The sequence below is a fragment of the Homo sapiens genome, chromosome 9, assembly GCF_000001405.40.
Source record: "Homo sapiens chromosome 9, GRCh38.p14 Primary Assembly".
NCBI lineage: Eukaryota > Metazoa > Chordata > Mammalia > Primates > Hominidae > Homo > Homo sapiens.
In genome coordinates this window covers 89,028,233-89,047,760 of record NC_000009.12, presented here as the reverse complement: position 1 = coordinate 89,047,760, position 19,528 = coordinate 89,028,233, and the positions used below count along the sequence as shown (strand labels likewise).

General features: G+C 40.3%; 1 protein-coding gene across 1 annotated transcript in view, besides 1 other annotated feature; it reads left to right on the top strand.

The window, feature by feature from the left end:
* The window catches only part of SHC3 (SHC adaptor protein 3), a 173,048-nt gene that overhangs the window by 131,058 nt on the left and 22,462 nt on the right, over window positions 1–19,528 (top strand). Inside the window, exons 8-11 of the mRNA NM_016848.6 lie at window positions 767–917; window positions 1,928–2,015; window positions 5,577–5,735; window positions 9,473–9,768. Coding sequence (NP_058544.3) covers window positions 767–917; window positions 1,928–2,015; window positions 5,577–5,735; window positions 9,473–9,768 — 694 coding nt within the window. The remainder of the gene's footprint in view (window positions 1–766; window positions 918–1,927; window positions 2,016–5,576; window positions 5,736–9,472; window positions 9,769–19,528) is intronic.
* Window positions 9,242–9,741: an enhancer, noted in NCBI's record as "H3K4me1 hESC enhancer chr9:91652935-91653434 (GRCh37/hg19 assembly coordinates)". NCBI's record gives its function as "activates a minimal SCP1, AML or CMV promoter by ChIP-STARR-seq in primed H9 embryonic stem cells {active_cell/tissue: H9 hESC(primed)}" and the evidence as "EXISTENCE:reporter gene assay evidence [ECO:0000049][PMID:30033119]".

Genomic DNA, 19,528 nt, shown 5'->3' with positions numbered 1-19,528 from the left:
ACGTTCTTATCAACACTTTTTCTTGTCCATCTCTTTGATTATAGCTACCCTAGTGGGCATGAAGTGGTCTCTGGTTGTGGTTTTGATATGCATTTTCCTGATGACTAACGATGTTGAGGAACTTTTCATGCATGTATTGGCTTTTTGTGTATCTCTGGAGAAAAGTCTGCTCAAATCCTCAGCTCATTTTTAAGATCGGGTTGTCTTTTCATTGTTGAGTCGTACGAGTACTTTATATATTCTAGATACATGTCTCATTTAAGATACATGTTAGCAAATATTTTCTCCCATTTTGTAGTTTGTATTTTTACTTTCTTGATAATGTCCTTTGAAGCACAACAGTTTTTTCAAATAGCAGAAGGGAGAATTTTGAGAGGTTCATATTCTACCATTTTCCCTCATATCACTAAATTTCCATTTTGTAGTTGGTTTTGTTTGGGATCAATTTCATGGCTTACAAAAATGTGTGCTGTCCCTTGAGGAGCTGGCTATCCTTAGGCATAATTTCTTTTTTAATTAAAATGTACTTTTACAAAAGGACATCCTTCAAACATGATTGAAATGTTCCAATGAGTGAAACTCTGAATATGGCAGAGATATTTTGCTAAACCACTCATCTGCTTTTCATCTATGCATGAGACCTGGATGGCTGAGGAGGCACTGACTAAACTCTCTTTTCTTAATAACAGGCGCTAACATTAGATTTGTTGATTTTGGCTGCAAGTTCAACTTTTGGCTAAAGCCCTTGGAAATCTTCCTTTAACAGAATGCAGAGTCTGGATGAGCCATGGACGGAAGAGGAGGGAGATGGCTCAGACCACCCATACTACAACAGCATCCCAAGCAAGATGCCTCCTCCAGGGGGCTTTCTTGATACTAGACTGAAACCCAGACCCCATGCTCCTGACACAGCCCAGGTAAGTCTTATAGTTTTTTTCTTATATAAGGAATGGAGGCTAACTCTACTTTATTTCCTTTTGTTTTCTTTGGTTTTATTTCAGGCTGATGTTCTGTTTCATTTTTGACACAGTAAATCATGAGCTTTCTCTCACTGGATTTCATGAGGCATGCAGATGAAGAGAGGCTTTGGGTTAACATCATAAAGCATTGGCCAAATGCTTTGGAACTGTGTGGTGATTCCTGGGATATGAGTCTGGGGGTGTCCTCTGTACCCTCAGACATATTCCATCATACTGTGATCTCAGTGAGGGAAAGAGAGAATTTAAGATTTTAAAAAGGCTTGGGAGGCATTGGGTTCTCTGAAAAGGAGTGAATATAGACGCTTAAAATGATGAGAATTTTATGAGTTTTCTATTTTATTCATTCCCTTGTTTTATGTCCAACTCAAAATTCTAGTAAGGCAATTGCTTTCTAGAGTTATGATATTTCTGTTTTGTTATAGGAAATTTTTTAACGTTACTACCTTATGTGAATGATAATGACACCACTAAAAATGGCAAAATAACGTTGAGCTCAGGGATCTGACACTGAGAGGGAATTTCCTGATTTTTTGAAGGAAATTTCCTGGTTTACAGAGTGGACTTGACCAAGTGTGAACGATCATGGGCGTATGTGTTATGTGGGAAGTGTGTTCTGACACATAGATACTCTGTAATTGAAATTTATTTTAGGACATACATATGGAAGAGCTTGATTTACAGTCACACTTCGGGAGGGGTGGGGGGGGTAATGAAAACAAGCGGGGGGGCATGTGTAGTTTTGATGGAGATGCAGCCTTTTCCTCACACCCACACAAACTTATTTCCCAAATCTTAATGCCAACCATGAGGCATGAAGGGAAAATTGGGTGTAACAGAGGATGCGAACCACCTTAAGGATCAACTCGCCGACTGTCTTGTGGCTTTCAAAAGTGGTGAAATGAGAAGAAAATAATTTTTTCATTCTGTGTATTTACATGTGTCTATAGTTTGCAGGAAAAGAGCAGACTTATTACCAGGGAAGACACTTAGGAGACACTTTTGGCGAAGACTGGCAGCAAACACCTTTAAGGCAAGGTGAGAGGCAAGGTGAGATGGGTGAGAAACACAAAAGACACTTTTCAAAAGTAACATGCTCACCACTGGGTCGCCTATTTTCTGTGGACTGACAGAGTGACCCCTGGATATATGTGCTGTGTGTGTTGCTATAGAATCCTGACTAGACTATAGAAATAGAAGCAACGGTGTGGTCAGGCGCGGTGGCACACGCCTGTAATCCCAGCACTTTGGGAAGCTGAGGCGGGACAATCACCTGAGGTCAGAAGTTCGAGACCAGCCTAACATGGTGAAACCCCAACTCTACTAAATAAAAAAATTTGCCGGGTGTGGTGGCGGGTGCCTGTAATCCCAGCTACTCAGGAGGCTGAGGCAGGAGAATCACTTGATCCCAGGAGGTGGAGGTTGCAGTGAGCCAAGATGATGCCATTGCGCTCCAGCCTGGGCAACAACAGCAAAACCCCATCTCAAAAAAAAAAAAAAAAAAGCAACAGTGTTGCAGACATCTCCTGGCACCAATCAGATAGTGCCTCCCTGCAGCTCCAGGACCATTCACACCCCGTCTGCAGTCACTGCCTCATGCCCTTGAGACTGTACACCTCCATGCTGGGAGAGCTTCCATGCCCAGGGGTGCTGAGAAGTTGACATCTCAGGCATACTTCACCCCAGTTTCCTATGGGAACTGGTGAGGCAACTCTAAGGTGGAGGTTGAGCCCCCGTGACTCCTACAACAAATTGTTGCCTTTCCTTCCTTGTCTCGTTCTCCTTCCCTTTACTCAGGGTCAGCTTCAGGGGGGATGTGAAGCCCCCTACTCTAAGCTGGGGATTGAGGCAGAGGTGGCACCAGGGATATACGTCTCTCACAGGCCCTGGATACTCTCAGAGAACACTTCTGCATCTTACAATCATAATATGCACCTACATCACACATTAAAACTAATGTCGATATAACTGTCTATAAGTCAGATATCTGCAAATAATTCAAATATATTTAGATACAGCCATCATAATTTAGATACAACTATCTAAGAAGTAACTGCTAATTGCTCACATAAGTCTTTATTCTCTAGACAGTTATATATACACATACAAATATGTATGAATGTATTCATATCTCAATCTAATCCTTTAAGAATGTCTTTTAATTTTAACCTTTTTCCCTTCTCAAAAACATTTATAACTCTTTCACTAGCTCTGGGATCCTGGCTACTAAGTCTATAAGATCTGAAGGGGATGGATGCAACTGATGCTTCTATGTATCTAAATTTAAACATTATTGGTTTAATGTTGAGGCTTATTCCTTCATTATAGCTATTTATGCCAGGAAGCAAATGACAATACATTTTTAAAATGTCCTCTGTGTAAGAGAATTTCGTCTCGCCTGCCCCAGATGCAGGAAGACCCACAGTGCTGGCCCAGTCAATAAAACATAAGGCCTGGCAGAAGCCACCACATGTTCTGCCTCAGAATAGGCTGGAAATAGCAAATCAGAGTCATAACTTTGCCAGAGGGACATTTTCATTATGGGCTATTTATCCTTGTTCTACACACATTTAAAATGCATTTCCATAACATGTGTGTGCATAGACATATAATAACTGCTAAAGAATAAAGGAGACACATTATTTCCCTTAGATATTTACTTTATTGTAAAATATATCAGGTTTATTTTAAAATAGGCCTTGTTTTTGATATATTCAAGTTATTCCAGCCAGATCGAGAACAGATGATGTCGCAGAATGAACTCCTGGCCTGGAACTTGAGACTCAGAGCTCTCAATAAATTTCCAGCTCTTCTTTGAAAACAATAAATAGGCAGGGCATGGTGGCTCACGCCTGTAATTCCAGCACTTTGGGAAGCCGAGGCGGGTGGATCATCTGAGGTCAGGAGTTCGATGCCAGCCTGGCCAACATGGTGAAACCTCGTCTCTACTAAAAATACAAAAAATTAGCTGTGCATGGTGGTGGGCACCTGTAATCCTAGCTACTCGGGAGGCTGAGGCAGGAGAATTGCTTGAACCTGGGAGGTGGAGGTTGCAGTGAGCCGAGATCATGCCACTTGCATTCCAGCCTGGGTGACAGAATGAGACCCTGCCTCAAAAAAAAAAAAAAAAATAAATAAATATCTTTTCTCACATAACAAATTAGAATGTCACTTATTAATTTGCTGGCAGATACTGTCCCTAATGGAAGTGAACTCCAGGTATCACGATGGCACGTGTCCTCCTGCCCCGGCTCAGCACCTGTTGTCATCTATGGTGGGAAAGGGCAGTCAGGAAGATTATGCATTTGGGCTCTTGATCTTCTCCTTTTAAAATTTTTTAATGAAATTCTTTTCTAAAGGCTGATTCGTTTGCAATGTACACAAAGGTGTAAACTGCAAATAGCTGTCACTAAGCAAGGATGCGTAATCTGACTAGACTCTTCAATGTAGAAAGCATGTTGAGAAATAGGAGAGTAGAAACACAGTCCATGATGTTGCAGGTGGTGCTCCCCAGCGAGGGAATGTTAGCACGACACTTCATTCTCACACCTACAGCCTGGGAGACAGTGGTGTGCTGGCAAATGTCCAGCCACAGGCTCTTGGGAACGCTTTTTAAAAAGCCCTGAACCAACTCCTGCCAGCTGGATTGAGCTGGCTTCAACACACCACCGCCCATAGGGTATGAAAGACACCCTCTTTCCAGAAATGTGAATACCACAGGGTGTTCTTGCGAACATGTTTACGTAAGAAGATTGGAGACAGGGCGCACACACAAAAAGACTCCGAGAAGGATCTGAACAGGCGTTCTCCGGCAACTAGGTCTGGGTGTCACTTTCACCCAGGGTCTGGGTGACAGAACAGCCCGGGCCCAGCCTCAGCACACCCACTGGCTAGCTGTGAAGTCCTGTCAAGGCACTAGGTCTTTCACACTAGGTCTCGGTGACAGAACAGCCTTGGCCTAGCCTCAGCACACCCATTGGCTAGCTGTGAAGTCACATCGAGGCAGCATCACTGCCTCAGCAGAGGGGGCTCTTCACTTGCACACCCACCCTGGGCTTCCTTCACAGACCCAGGGGCAGTAACTGCAGCCCTATTTTATAAGGAAGGAGTCTCTCTCAGTTCCTTAGGAGGTACAGAGCTTCTATTGTATTGCTTGAATGAAGTTAATTTATAAAGCATTTGCTTATATTTAAAAAGAAAACAAGAGCAATTAATATAAGGCTTGTGGTCCTTCTGCTCAGTTATTTGATCTTGGAGCATTTGTCAAGGAGAGGAGGTCAGGCATGTTCTGCCTGCCAGGCTCCTGCGGTCTTGGGGCAGCAAGGGCCAAAATTTTTGCTAAGGCCATCACAGTGGAGCCATCAAGGTGTCCACCCTGACATTGGCTGGCAGACCCCATGCTGATATGAAGGACTGGAAAACATCCTAGCTGGGTCACAGCAGTGTGTGGTGACAAGCTCAGAAGAGGAGAATATCACCCATAGGAATCCGAAGGAGGAGGTTTCCCATTTGCAGGCAGAAGAGCTTCTTTGTGAAAGGCTGGGTGGCTTGAATAGTGTCACCATCGTAAAAGAAAAGGGGCTCACTTTCTTGTTGCAGGGTCCTCGGACATCTACAGCACGCCAGAAGGGAAACTGCACGTGGCCCCCACGGGAGAAGCACCCACCTACGTCAACACTCAGCAGATCCCACCACAGGCCTGGCCGGCTGCGGTCAGCAGTGCTGAGAGCAGCCCAAGGAAAGACCTCTTTGACATGAGTGGGTTTCTGTTTGTCTCTGGTTTTCTTTTCTTTTGAGGTTGCTTTTTATCCTGCCTTTTATTTGAAATCTGTGTAATTACTGAATTTTCTGATAGTAGGGTTTTGGTTAATGGTGATGATTAGCTGTACTTTTCTGGGTGATGATTGGGTTTGTTTAAGGCTTTAGGATTATAGCCCTCTCTGTAGTCAAGAGACAGAGCAATTTCCCCCTCTTTTTGGAATTGACGTTCCTCTTGAAGATCTGCAAATGTATTGAGACAATATACATACACAAATGTTTATTTATTCATTTAAATAGTAATTGGCTATTATGTGCCAGCTACTGTATTAGTTGCTAAGGATGCAAAGATGAAATGGCATGGCCCGTGTTTCCACGGATCTCTAGGTCTATGAAGCAGACCAACATTTAACATATAGGCAAGAAATTGCAACACACCTCTCTCTTATGAGGGTTTTCTCTCTCTTTCTCCTCTCCTCCCACTTGTGCTCTCATTTTTTTCTCTCCTTTTTTCTCTCTTGCTCACCTTTTACCTCACTCCAAATATTTACTGAACACTTACCATTTGTCAAATACTATTCTACTTGATGGAGATATACAGGAAAACAAAACCAGCAAAGTCTCTACCTCGTGGAGGTATCTATTACCAGGTAGTGGTACATGCTCCTCAGTTATGAAAACTAAACAGGATAAGGAGAGTAATAGGAATCTATTGCAGATAGCATTATAGTGGGATGTGTACCACAGACTTTCTGTTTGTCATATAGACTGAGGAAATTAAATCGTTCATGAACTGATTAATGAAAGTGAAAATTTTTGTTAAAAAATTTTGAAAGAGCATCACAAGCTCACAAGAGCTAAATTTGCTTTTCATATTCCTCGAGAATTTTATAGGCTGAAGAGGGAGGGAATGGAGACTAGTTCTGAATGATTTTCTACCATGTGCTAAACACTTATTTTTAAATTTTTACAGGTAGGTATTACGATAACTACTGTTATCTTTATTTTACAGAGAAGGAAACGAAGAATCCTAGAAGTTAACTAACTTTATCATTTGTGAAAGGCAGCCTTGCTGGTCCAATATCTGTGATTTGTGGTATTTTGTATGAGTGAGGACAGTGTTAAGTGCCTTTATAATTAGGCAGCCTCATGAAAACAACACTGTTTCTCTCCAGCAAATTTGACTTCCCAGACACACTGGACCCCCATTTTGACTTAACAAAAATAATCTAAGCAAGAACTGTAGAATCTTAATGCTTGAAGCCACCTTCAATGCTAGATCACCTAATTCAGTCCCGCCAGTGCCTTTATTTTTAAAAATGTGAAAACAGCTTGAGAAATGTGAAGCCACTTTTTCAAGATGCAAAGCACAGTGGTGGCTCTCCAAGCTTTTGCTGGAGTTGTTATAGTACCTCCAAACTGCAGTTTAATAGTTCCATGTCTGGTTAGACCATTTTTACTGTTTAATATAGTCAATTTACCAATGACTCCTGGACACGGACCCTAAGGAAAGTTAGATTGGCTGGTGTTTGGGATGAAAAAATGAGAACCAGAGCTACCCTTTTCCCACCAGTTAATTTCTCCTCCTGCTTTCAAAACCTAAGGAGGGGAAACAGGATGTGAAAAGAGCCTTAGAAAGGCTGGTGCCTATTGAAAAGTATGGAACTAAATAAAGCCAGCACTCTGTGTTCTTTATTTTGAACCAGTAGATCTAAATATAGCGGTGCTGATGTGATGATGGTGGTGATGATGGTGCTGCTGCTGATGGTAATTTTGATGGTGGTGGTGGTGGTGATGGTGGTGGTGATGATGATGATGGTGATGATGCTGCTGATGGTGGTGGTGTTGATAGTGATGATGATGGTGATGATGATGGTGGTGATGCTGCTGCTGATGGTGCTGGTGGTGGTGATGATGGTGGTGATGATGCTGATGATGGTGCTGGTGGCAAAGGTGGTGGTGGTGATGGTGATAATGGTGGTGAGATGGTGGTGATGCCGATGGTGGTGGTGGTGGTGGTGGCAATGGTGATGGTGATAGTGCTGATGGTGCTGATGGTGGTGATGCTACTGCTGCTGCTGTTACTGCTGCCGCTCCTGTTGCTGCTGGTGACAGTGATGGTGATGATGATGGTTATGCTGGTGACAATGATGGTGATGATGATGATGATGACAATGGGGATGATGGTGATAATGGTGATGATCCTGATGATGCTGATGGTAATGGTGGTGGTGATAATGGTGAGGGGATAGTGATGATAGTGTTGATGGTGGTGATGCTATTGCTGCTGCTGCTGTTGCTGGTAGTGACAGTGATGGTGGTGACAATGATGGTGATGATGATGGTTATGATGGTAACAATGGGGATGATGGTGATAATGGTGATGACGATGGCGACGATGGCGGTGATGCTGATGGTGGTGGTGGTGCCAATAAAAGTGAATGTGGGGATGGTGGCGATGTTGGGGATGATGCTGACGATGTTGATGATGTAGATGATAGCAAAGGTGGTAATGATGTAGAAACAGTATAAAACAAATGACAATTCCAGGTAATCAGGAAAAAAGTCAGATGAAAAAGAACTTCCACAGACATAATTTTTGCCAATGGTTCTAACTTATTTTTATCTCCAAATCTGTCAAAGATTAATAAGCATCAAAAAGAGCTAATTTTAGTTTCATTTACTCACCTCACTTCTGCCCACGCTGTACTAACATCGAACAAGTTTGGCTTATTTTACAGCATCTGTTGACTATACTGAATGAACTGTGTGCTAGGAGCAATGCTGGGCTCTGAGGGTGTAGTTATGCTCAGGAAAGAACCACTCCTGTTCTTGTGCTGCTTATGTTGTATGTATGTGTATGCTTATGGGTAGACAGCGTAGTCTGAAATAACCATCGCACTACCTTCCACTTGCATAGCACTGTGCATTTTTCAGAGTCCTTTCATACACACTACCTTATGTGAAAATCGAACATCGGGATTTAGTTAGACATGCCTGGCTACTTCTTTTGCTGCTGGTATTTCTTGTTAGAGCAGCAGTCTCACCATTCACACATGCCTTGCACTGAGAAGTGTGCTCTGAAGGGGATGAAACCAAGTATGGTCTCAGGCACTCATGTGAGAGCCTCGTTCCACAGGGAAACAAGTGAAGGTTAAGGGAAGGTGGAGCTCCTAGCCTGGGGCAAGTCACACAAGAGGAACCCAACACCCGTCAGCTTTCTCTTTTAAAAATTTGCCTGATGCAAAGATTTTGAAATAAACCTTTGGTGGATTGGGCTCAGGTTTTGCATAAAATCAAAGCTTTGTAGCTTGTCTTTCCCTTTGGTATTGGCAGATTTTTGTTCAGAATTTGTTAAAGAGGCTGGCTGAAGTTCCAGAGAAAGTACGTGGCATGTGATATTCATGGCCTCTTGCAGCATGCAAAAATGAAGTCATTCCAGCTAGCTAGACAAAGGGTGTGCTTGACTCCTTGGCACATAGCACAACTCCCAGCTGTCTTGGGAAAGCAGACTCATCAGAAAGTCATGCCAAAATTTGGGCTGTGCTTTTCAATGCTTGTTATGATGGCTCTTGTTATATTACCAGCCAGTTAGTTGTCTCCATTGGTTTTTGTTTTCCCCTTCTGGAGGAGTTGCCTTTGCATTTCCATCTCTCTCACTGTATTTTTTTTTTTTTTTTTTTATCATTTGCTCTTCTTGGGATTGACTTGTTGCTGGTCAATATTGTTGATGACAGAACCTTTTGAAGATGCTCTCAAGAACCAGCCCTTGGGGCCCGTGTTAAGCAAGGCAGCCTCCGTGGAGTGCATCAGCCCTGTGTCACCTAGAGCCCCAGATGCCAAGATGCTGGAGGAACTGCAAGCCGAGACTTGGTACCAAGGAGAGATGAGCAGGAAGGAGGCAGAGGGGCTGCTGGAGAAAGACGGAGACTTCCTGGTCAGGAAGAGCACCACCAACCCGGGCTCCTTTGTCCTCACGGGCATGCACAATGGCCAGGCCAAGCACCTGCTGCTCGTGGACCCAGAAGGCACGGTGAGCACCCAGTGGGGGTGGGGCCGGACCTGCCAGTGGGTGCAGACCTGCCTTAAACAGTCTCCACTTTGTCAAATGCCCTCCACATTCCCACCTCTATCCACAAGTGCCTACTGAGTCCTCCAGGGGAACGCAGGGACAGACAACTCCTGTCATCAGGCCAGAGCCAGGAGCCAGGAGCCAGTGGTCAGGGCCCCACACAAGTTTTAAAACTTTTAGAATTATGGCCTAGGCTGAAAGCCTTGACTTTTATGTCCTTTAAAGTAAATAAATACAGAAACTGAGAGCATTTTCCTTACAAACACATTTCTAGTAGACAAGGAAGTACAGGCTCCTAGGCTTTTAATATTTATCTTGAATGCTTATCTCGAAAAGTTGAATCACTGAGGATTTTGTTCTAAGGCTGTAAAATGTGATGATCAGTAAATGAAACCCCCATTGCTAAGTCTCTTGTTTTCCCGTTTAGAGAAGTAACTCCTACTGATGTTGGCCATCCCTGGCACTACAGCTGTATCTGAATAATCCCGTAGGTTTGGCTGAATTTTTCATCTTCCCGTCAAGAAAGACATTCATCTTTACCTGGGGCATAGTCCAAGAATTGCTAAGTTTAATAAATGCAGTTAAATCAACCTAACCATTGAGTGAAATTCCAGGATTGTTTAAAACCTTTTATCCAGTGAAAACAACAAAGCAGGGTAGAGTTATTTAATAGGAGTTAAGAACATTGCATTTTCTGATTGACAGGGAGGGATGAAGCCTTTGTCTCAGTTGGACTGGAACACAATTAAACTGCATGTGTCGGGGGTGGGGGTGTTACCCAAGACAGTTTATTACCTCAGGTGCCAAGACTCAGTTGCCTGAATACCCCAGCTCCTGGCACTCTGAACAATTCCCCTTTCTGTCTCTGCAGAAGCAGCCACTTCCCACTTCCAGCCAGTAGCTAGTTCCTCTTTCCCTTCCGCGGAGACAGCCACTTCCTCATGAATGTAACCTATCTCCTTCCAATCCACCTTCTTTTTTTTTTTTTTTAACATATATGTACTTCTGAGAAAACATATTTTGTGTTTGTGCCTTTTAGAAATTTGCAAATTAGCCAGGCATGGTGGCGACTGCCTGTAGTCCCAGCTACTCAGGAGGCAGAGGTGGGAGGATTGCTTGAGCCCCGTAGGTCAAGGCTGCCCTGAACTGTGATCGCAACTACTCCACTCCAGCCTGGGTGATGGAGAAAGACTCTGTTTCAAAAAAAGAAAAAAGAAGTTTGCAAACATGTTATTGTTCCACAAATCCCATTTTGTTTCTTCCTTTTCCACCACTGTATATGTTGTTGAGATCTGTCCATGGTGGTTTCTGTTTATCAGATCATTACTGTGGTGGGCTGCCTGGGGCCCGTCACGTATGCAGTCCACATGTCACTTACTGAGCTCTCTTGAGAAGGATGACTAAGCTGCTACAAACTCTCACGCATGTTTTTCTCTGTACCCGGGGACGGTATCTCTGGGACAGGAGCCAAGAGTGGCGTTTTGGTCACAGGGTACACGTACATTGAATTTCCCTAGGGCTTGCATTTGCTTTCAGAATGGCTGAGCTACTAAGGCGCACACCAGCAACATCCTTGCTCTTCCTTGAGAGAGTCTCTAGGTTTGCTAGTTTGTGGGAGTAGGGAGAAAGGGAATACCTCATTGTTTGATTTGTAATTCTTTGGTTGCACTTCATTAGTAAATTAGCAGATTCTTCCTGTAAATTTTATGTTCTTATCTTTTCTCCATGTTTTTCTTTTGACTTTCAGATTGGGCTTTCTTGTTGAGGTTTTCAGCAACAGAATTTTCACATGTATTCTCTTGCTTTTTTCATCTATCTGATAATTTTGTCTGTGATACTCTTCATCAAATAGAAGTCTTTCATGGGATGCATCCGAATCCATCAGGTTTCCCCCTTTGTGCTTGATGGTTTTGACTTTTAAAGTTTTTCTCCCCCACAAATCACAAATATACTGGATTTGAATATATATTTTCTTTTGTTAGCTTTATAGTTTTATCTTTCACATGTAGACTTTAATTCCAACTGAAGGTACTTTTGAATATGAAATGAGATAGAGACCCAATACACACACACACACACACACACACACACACACACACACATCTATATATATATATATATATTTTGTTTGTTTGTTTTTTGCTTGTTTTTGTATTTTTAGTAGAGACAGGTTTTCTCCATATTGGCCAGTCTGGTCTTGAACTCCTGACCTCAGGTGATCCACCTGCCTTAACCTCTCAAAGAGCTGGGATTACAGGTGTGAGCCACCACACCTGGCCGAGGCTCAACACGTTTTTAAATCTCCAGATAGTAAGCCAGTTTTTCTGTCACCATTTACTAAATCATTCATCTCTTCTCTGCTGTCCTGATGTTCCTTCTGAAACATACTAAGTTCCTTGCATCATGGTCTGTTTCTGGGTGCTGGATTCTATTCTACTGATCTGACTGTTTAGTCCTTGTATAAGTACCATGCTATTACATCCTTATGGCTTTGGAACTCTCCTAACATCTGGTGGTGTGAGTCCTTCCTCTTGATTCTCCTTTTTCTAAACCGTTTTACTGAGCTTCATATATATATTCTTCTTTATACTGATTTTAGAATCAGTTTTTCAAGTCACCAACAATACATGCTGGGATTTCAATAGGGCTTGCAATGAATGTATGTAGATTAATTTGAAGAAGAACAGACATTTTTGTTGGGGAGATCAGACCCAACGCCAGGTCGTGGGGCTGACAAAGTCCGGCAGAGTCAAAGGATTGAGAAAAAGACAGTTTGAGAGAGGAAGGTGGGACACCAGAGGGCCATCGCAATCGTGGAGGTTGCAAAGGCCCTGAGCTCTGGGAACCCGCACTATTTATTGGTAATCCAACAGAGGAACAGGTGGTGAGAATGTGGAGGTCAAAATGACACGTTGCATTAAGCACATGATTTACAGCTGTGATGGTTTAACATTTATATGGAACATGTTCTGCTACTTGAGATAATGGGAATACAATCGATCTAGGAGCCTAGGAGGGCTAGAAGCAAGGAGCCAGCAAGTCTAGACACATTCCCAAGGACATTATGCAAGCCCTGCCTCAGTTTCCCTCCCAACATTCAGCTTTTTCCCAACAATTTTTCTGTATTAGATCAGCACAACCATGAACATGGCATAAGTCTCCAGTAACTTAGTTTTTAAGGTGTCTTTTGATAGAGTTTTAAAATTTTTCCCACAAATTCTTCTGTCTCCTTTATTAGATTATTTCCTACAGTGTCTAGATTTAGCTCCTGTTGTAAGTGGCATGTTATTTTGAGTTTCTTTTTCTTGACGATTTTTGCTGGAGAGAGAAGAATGTGGTGTGATCTTGTGCCTGGACACTTTGCTTCTTCCAGTAGTTTTACAGGAACATTGGTCCTGCCATTGCAGACCTGGACAGTTTCACCTCCTGCCTTCCAGGGCTCACCCTTACGTGGTATTTCACCCCATTGCTCTGACTAGGGGCGCCTACAGAGGCTGACCAGGGGAGAGTGTCCTTGTCCACTCCAAACCTGAAAAGGAATGATTGCACTGGTTGCAGTAGGCTTTGGGGAGATTATCTTTTAGATGATTGTCCTAAAAAATTTCATTCATCCATTTATTCATTCATTCAACAAATACATACTGAATGCCTACTATGTCCAGACATTGTGTTTTGGCAGCTGGGATATGTCTAGGAATCTGTTTAAAAAGAAAATCTCTGCTCTCATGGAACTTACACATATTATTTAATTACTTTGATTATATATAGGTGTTGAACTTTATCAACTACTTCAGCACCTTTTGAGATAATAATTGTTTTTTAAATTGTTAATATGGAGAATTACACAGCTAGATTTTTCTGATGTTGTAATCCTGTCATAAACTCTACTTCACCTTGACATAGTTCTTGTGAAATGCATTATTGGATTTGGTCACCGAATGTTTTATTTAGGATTTTGTTGAATCTCTGTTTGTAAGTAAAACCTGTCTTGTCTTTGCTGCCTTTGCTTGTATATGCTCATATGGTTTTGGTATCAAGATTTTGCCATTTTGCTCACCTCTTAAGATGAGCTAGGCTTCCTACACATCAAAGAAGTCTTTTCAGAGAAGCCTTCCCTAATCTTTTTATCCCAAATAGGATCCCCTCTATACCCCCTGTTTCTGCATTCTTCTTTGTTTTTACCTTAAAGCACTTACCACAAACAAACATTCATTTCTTTGTTAATTTCTTCATTATGTGGCTAGTTTCTTCTACTAGACTGTATTCCCCATGAGGGTAGCAAACTTGTTTAGTGCCATAGTGCCCAATATGTAGAGTAGTGCCTGGCACATAGCAGTATTCAACAAGCATTTGATGAACAAACACAAAGATTGGCCTGGGCTTTTACAGGTTAAGAGTTGAGAGCCTGTGGAGGTGATGGGGTGCTGAGGGTTGCATGCTACTAGCAGATGTAGAATCAGAAACGAAATTTTTAGAATCAGCTCATACTTCTTCCTGTTTGCATAGACTAACAGTTGTGGTTATCTAAAAGAAAATAGGGGAGAAGATACCCAAGCAATTCTATGAGAATATAAATATTTCAGTTCAAAATTTTAGATATTTAAAAAAACAAAAAGCTAAAATCTAGTTAAATATGTCATCTTATAGAACAAAGATTATTGAATTTGTTCACTTAGTCTGTATAGATCAAAGAATGACTTAAAAAAGAGCTGTGTACTCCTAATAACATATTTATTATACATTAAAAATCAGTATCATAATGTAGCAGATAAAGAGGGTATGAATTTGTGGAAATACGATTAAACCAGGTATCCAAGCGAGCCAATGCCCAAAGCTGTGTTTACCATACAATTTTAATTTTGGAGGAGGAACTTGTAGTACTGTTGAGAAAATTTGTCAAGTCATACCTACTAATGACTGTTCTTCGGTGGGGGGGCTTTTTTGTTGGATCTAATTTTTTAGTTAAATTGATCCTATGGAGGACAGCTTTAGCTGAAAAAGAAAATGGAAATGAAAGACTTAATTAAAAATGTAACATCACATTCTTGCTGTGGGGACACCAAAATAGGCAATGAACACATTCTCTTCAATATTTATTCATCTGATTTTCATGGTAATTGGTTGGTCCCTGACTATAAAGGGGGAAACTTGGCAGAGAACAGATTACTCAGAGAAATAAGGATGAAAACAGTTCTGCGTCTAAATTTACTCCAGAGTATACTAACCTTTGTGCCTTCCCACCGTCCACTGAGATCACTGGAAACGTGGTGAGAAGCTGCGTGGGGCATCTTCTGAGCCCTGTTCGTAAGGTGTCAAGAATATTGACTCTAAAATAGTATCTGGAAAGTGCCAGTAGCTGGGTCTCTAAGAGAAGCCTCAGAGATGGAGTCTGGAACACTTTACTTTTCAACATCTTCAGAATTGTTTAGTCAACGCTCTTATGTCTAAAATTATTCCCTGAGTCATTTATCATTGATTCATCTCTTTGGTCTTGAAGGACCAGCTAAGCGAGGTGGGCACTGTGCTTGCATTTGAATGTGTTGCTACCGCTGGTGGGTGGGTTTCCTGTGGGCGTGATTCACATGGTGTCTGGTCATTGCACATTTAAGAGCACATGCTGGAAATTTTGTTCATAAAATCACAAAACATTGATGACAATCCAACGCCCCCACATTCACTAGTTTTTAAGAGTAGTTTTTAAATGTTCCCTAATCCTCACTTTATAATGCCCTGTTGTTATTTTTAAATTCCCTTTGTACCAGCCAGTCTAGGCTGTTCTGCAATAACAAATAAAATCTGGATTCTCAGTGGTTTAACCCAGCAGAGCTCAGTCCCCCGCATGCCAAGTCACGTGTGTGTTGTGTGGCTCTCCAGTTCCCGCAGGTCCTTGGGTGACTCAGGATCCAGATGAACTGTTGTCCATCTCCTGGGCTCATCTTCTCAACACGGGAGCTCAAAGGAGAAGAGAGGCTGGAGGAAACTCGTGGGCTCTCAATGGCTGTGCTGTGGAGGGGACTCACATCAGCTCCCTCTAGTCCATGAGTCCCAGCCTCACTCCAAGGAAGCTGAGAAATGCTGAGAAACATGGAGCATTTGATCCAAGAGCCTGTCTCAGCAACATACCTTTTACATTTTTATCAATGTAAGACTGAAAAACATAAACAAAGGAGATAGAAGGCTTTTAAAGAAAAACACTGATCTCCCCCAAACCATTTCCACCCTCACCCCATTCCCACGCAAAAACTTGTGCACACATAGTTATAGTAGCATTATTCATAATAGCCAAAAGGTAGAAACAATTCAAGTGTCATCAACAGATAAATAAGAAAGTAAAATGTCGTATATCCATACAATAGAGCATAATTCAGCTATAAAAAGAATGAAGTATTGACACATGCCACAACTTGGATGAACCTTGAAAACATTATGCTAAGTGAAAGAAGCTAGTGACAAAAGACCACATATTATTCTATTCATAGTAAAGTTCAGGATGAAAAAATCTACAGAGACCGAAAATAGATGAGTGATTCCTAAGGGCTGGGTGAGAGAAAGGGATGGGAGGACAGGGAGGTGATAGCTGAAAGGTATGGCATTTCTTTTTATGGTGATGAAAATGTTCTAAGATTGACAGTGATGATAATGAATGTATCTGCGAATATACTGAAACCCATTGAATTGTACACCTTAAATGAATGTGGTGTCTAGATTATATCTCAATGAAGCTGTGTAAAAAGAATCTCTGTATCTGCCAGTTTATAGAAAAATACAGGTCAGGTGTGGTGGCTCACATCTGAAATCCTAACATTTTGGGAGGCTGAGGTGGGGTGATCACTTGAGGCTGGGAGTTCAAGACCAGACTGGGCAATATAGTGAGACCCCATCTCTAAAATAAAAAATTAGCTGGGCATGGTGGTATGCACCTGTAATCCCAGCTACTTGAGAGGCTGAGGCAGAGTTCAAGGCTGTAGTGAGCTATGATCATACAACTGCTCTCCAGGCTGGGTGACAGGTGACTCTGTCTCAAGAAAAAAAGAAAAAAAATTACAGGGGACAGAGGAACAAGTTATACAATGCCAGAAGGAAGCAAAAGCCAAATCATAAGGTGGGGTATTCCACAGACAAATATCTTGTTTTTCAAACAAATCACTGGTATGGAGGAAAAACGGAAGGAAAATATAAATAGAATAGAAGAGTGTTAAGAGAAATAATGAAATGCAAATGCAGACTACATCTATTTGGGTTCTGATTCCAACAAACAGGTAATAAAAAGAACATCCTTGAGACAATTAGAAAAATTTGATGTTCTGTTATTAGGTGTATATGTGTTTTTAACTGTTGTATCTTCCTTATGGAGTGACCCTTTATTAGTATGAAATGTCCCTCTTTATCTCTAGTAAGTTTTTTAGATTATGAATTATCTTCACTTGTTATAGGTCTATTCAGATTATCTATTTCTTCTTGAGTCAGTGTTGATATTTTGTGTCTTTCTAGGAATTTGTCCATTTTACCTAAGTATCAAATAGGTTAGCATGTATAAAGAATGTCGTTGCATGGAGTTCTTTATAGATATCTATTAGGTCTAGTTGGTTTCTGGTGGTACTCAAGTCTTCTGTTTCCTTGTTGGTCTTTTGACTAGTTGTTCTATTCATTATTAAAAGTCAGGTATTGAAATGTCTATTATTGTTGAATTGTCTATTCTCCTTTTATTCCTATTAATTTTGCTTTATGTATTTTGGTGTTCTGTTATTAAGCGCATATGTGTGTATAACTTTTGTATCTCCCTGATGGATATACCTTTTATTAATGTGAAATGTCCCCCTTTATCTCTAGTAACATTTTTTGCTTCTTTTGTTTTAAAATCTATTTTATCTGGTATTAGTATATGTACTCCAGCTTTCTCATGGTTGCTATATATGAGACACATTCTTTTCTCTCCTTTATTTTCAATCTGTTTGTTTTATTTTGGCCACTCTGAAAATCTCTGCCTTTTGATAGCATTTTTAATCCATTCATATTTAATGTTATTTATGATATATGATTTATAGCTGCCATTTGACTTTTTGTTTTTTAATGTAATATGTATATTATAGTTCTATATATTAGGCATAACATTGCATTACATATGTACTTTTTTTACAGATGCTTTTAAAATCAGTTAATCTTGAAGTTTCTAATTGCCCTATTCTTGAGAGAAGACAGCTATGTTTTCCTCACAATGTCTTTACCCTTAACCAGTGCCTTGCTCATTCCATCTATTTCTTAGGACACACAGACAGATGGACTTCCTCTTCTAAGGTGAACTAATAAATTTCCAGGGCAAACTCATCATCCCAGGGACATATTTTCATTGGACTCTTGGACTTGTATCCTATATCTTCCTCTTTCTTGGCTTTCACTCACTTTTTACCAGACTGCTTCCTTAAGTGCCTTTCTCGGAAGAGGTGCATGAGCATAAATTTTCTCATCCTTGCGTGTCTGAAAATATGTTTTTCAGTCACTTTTGATTAAAAGTATGGTTAGTTGTAGTATGACTGGTGTGATTCTTCATCCCTTATGGTTATTTTTTTCTATAAATTTTTAATTTTTTTCTTTTGTCTTTGTGTTCTGTAATGACATAGGCATGAATCTACATGTGTGTCTTTTTCTATTCATTGTTCTAGGAACTTGATGAACACTTTCATTCTGAAGACTTGTGTTTTCCTTTAAATCAGAACAATTTTCTTATATAATATTTTTGATAATTTCCTGCCTTCTATATTTTTTCATCTCAGAACTCCTGGTTGAGGGAGTAGACCTTCTGGATTGACCTTGTCTCTTGTCTTTCCAAAAAGTTTCCAGTTCTTTGAAATTATGTTCTATGTTCTGGGAGCTTTTCTTGACTATCATACAAACTTATGTGTGTATAATATAGATATAATCTAGATCTATATATAGATTATCTCTCTCTATAGATATCTATATAGATATCTATATCTATATATATATTCTGCCTCAGAAGATAATTTGGAAAACAGAAAAAAAAGTTAAAAAACTTATATTAATAGATATAGATTAATAGATATAGATTATATCTAGATATATATCTAATCTATATATAGATATATTTACACACATGTTTGTGTGTATATATATGCTATATATAGATATAGATGATCTCTCTATATCTCTCTATATCTATATAGAGAATATATATATAGAGAGAATATATATCTATATAGAGAATATATATTCTCTATATAGATATATATAGAATATATAGATATAGATTATCTCTTTATATAGATAGCTATATCTATATATATTCTATATAGATATCTATATAGAGAGATAATCTATATCTATAGCATATATATACACATAAACATGTGTGTAATATATATCTATATCTAGATTAGATATATATCTAGATATAATCTATATTAATCTATATCTATATAGATATAATCTATATTAATCTATATCTATATAGATATAATCTATATCTATTAATATAAATTGTTTAACTTTTTTTTCTGTTTTCCAAATTATCTTCTGAGGCAGGTGTTGGTTTGCTCATCATGATCTTTCTCTTCATGGTACTGGTGTTTTTAAGATGTCTGGCATTCTTACACCATGAGATTTCAGAACAAGAGGCTGGATGGATTTTCCTGGGGTTGTTCTCTTCTGCTGTGATACATATAGCTCTCTTTCCCTCTAGTCTGTCCCCAGTATCAGAAGACTG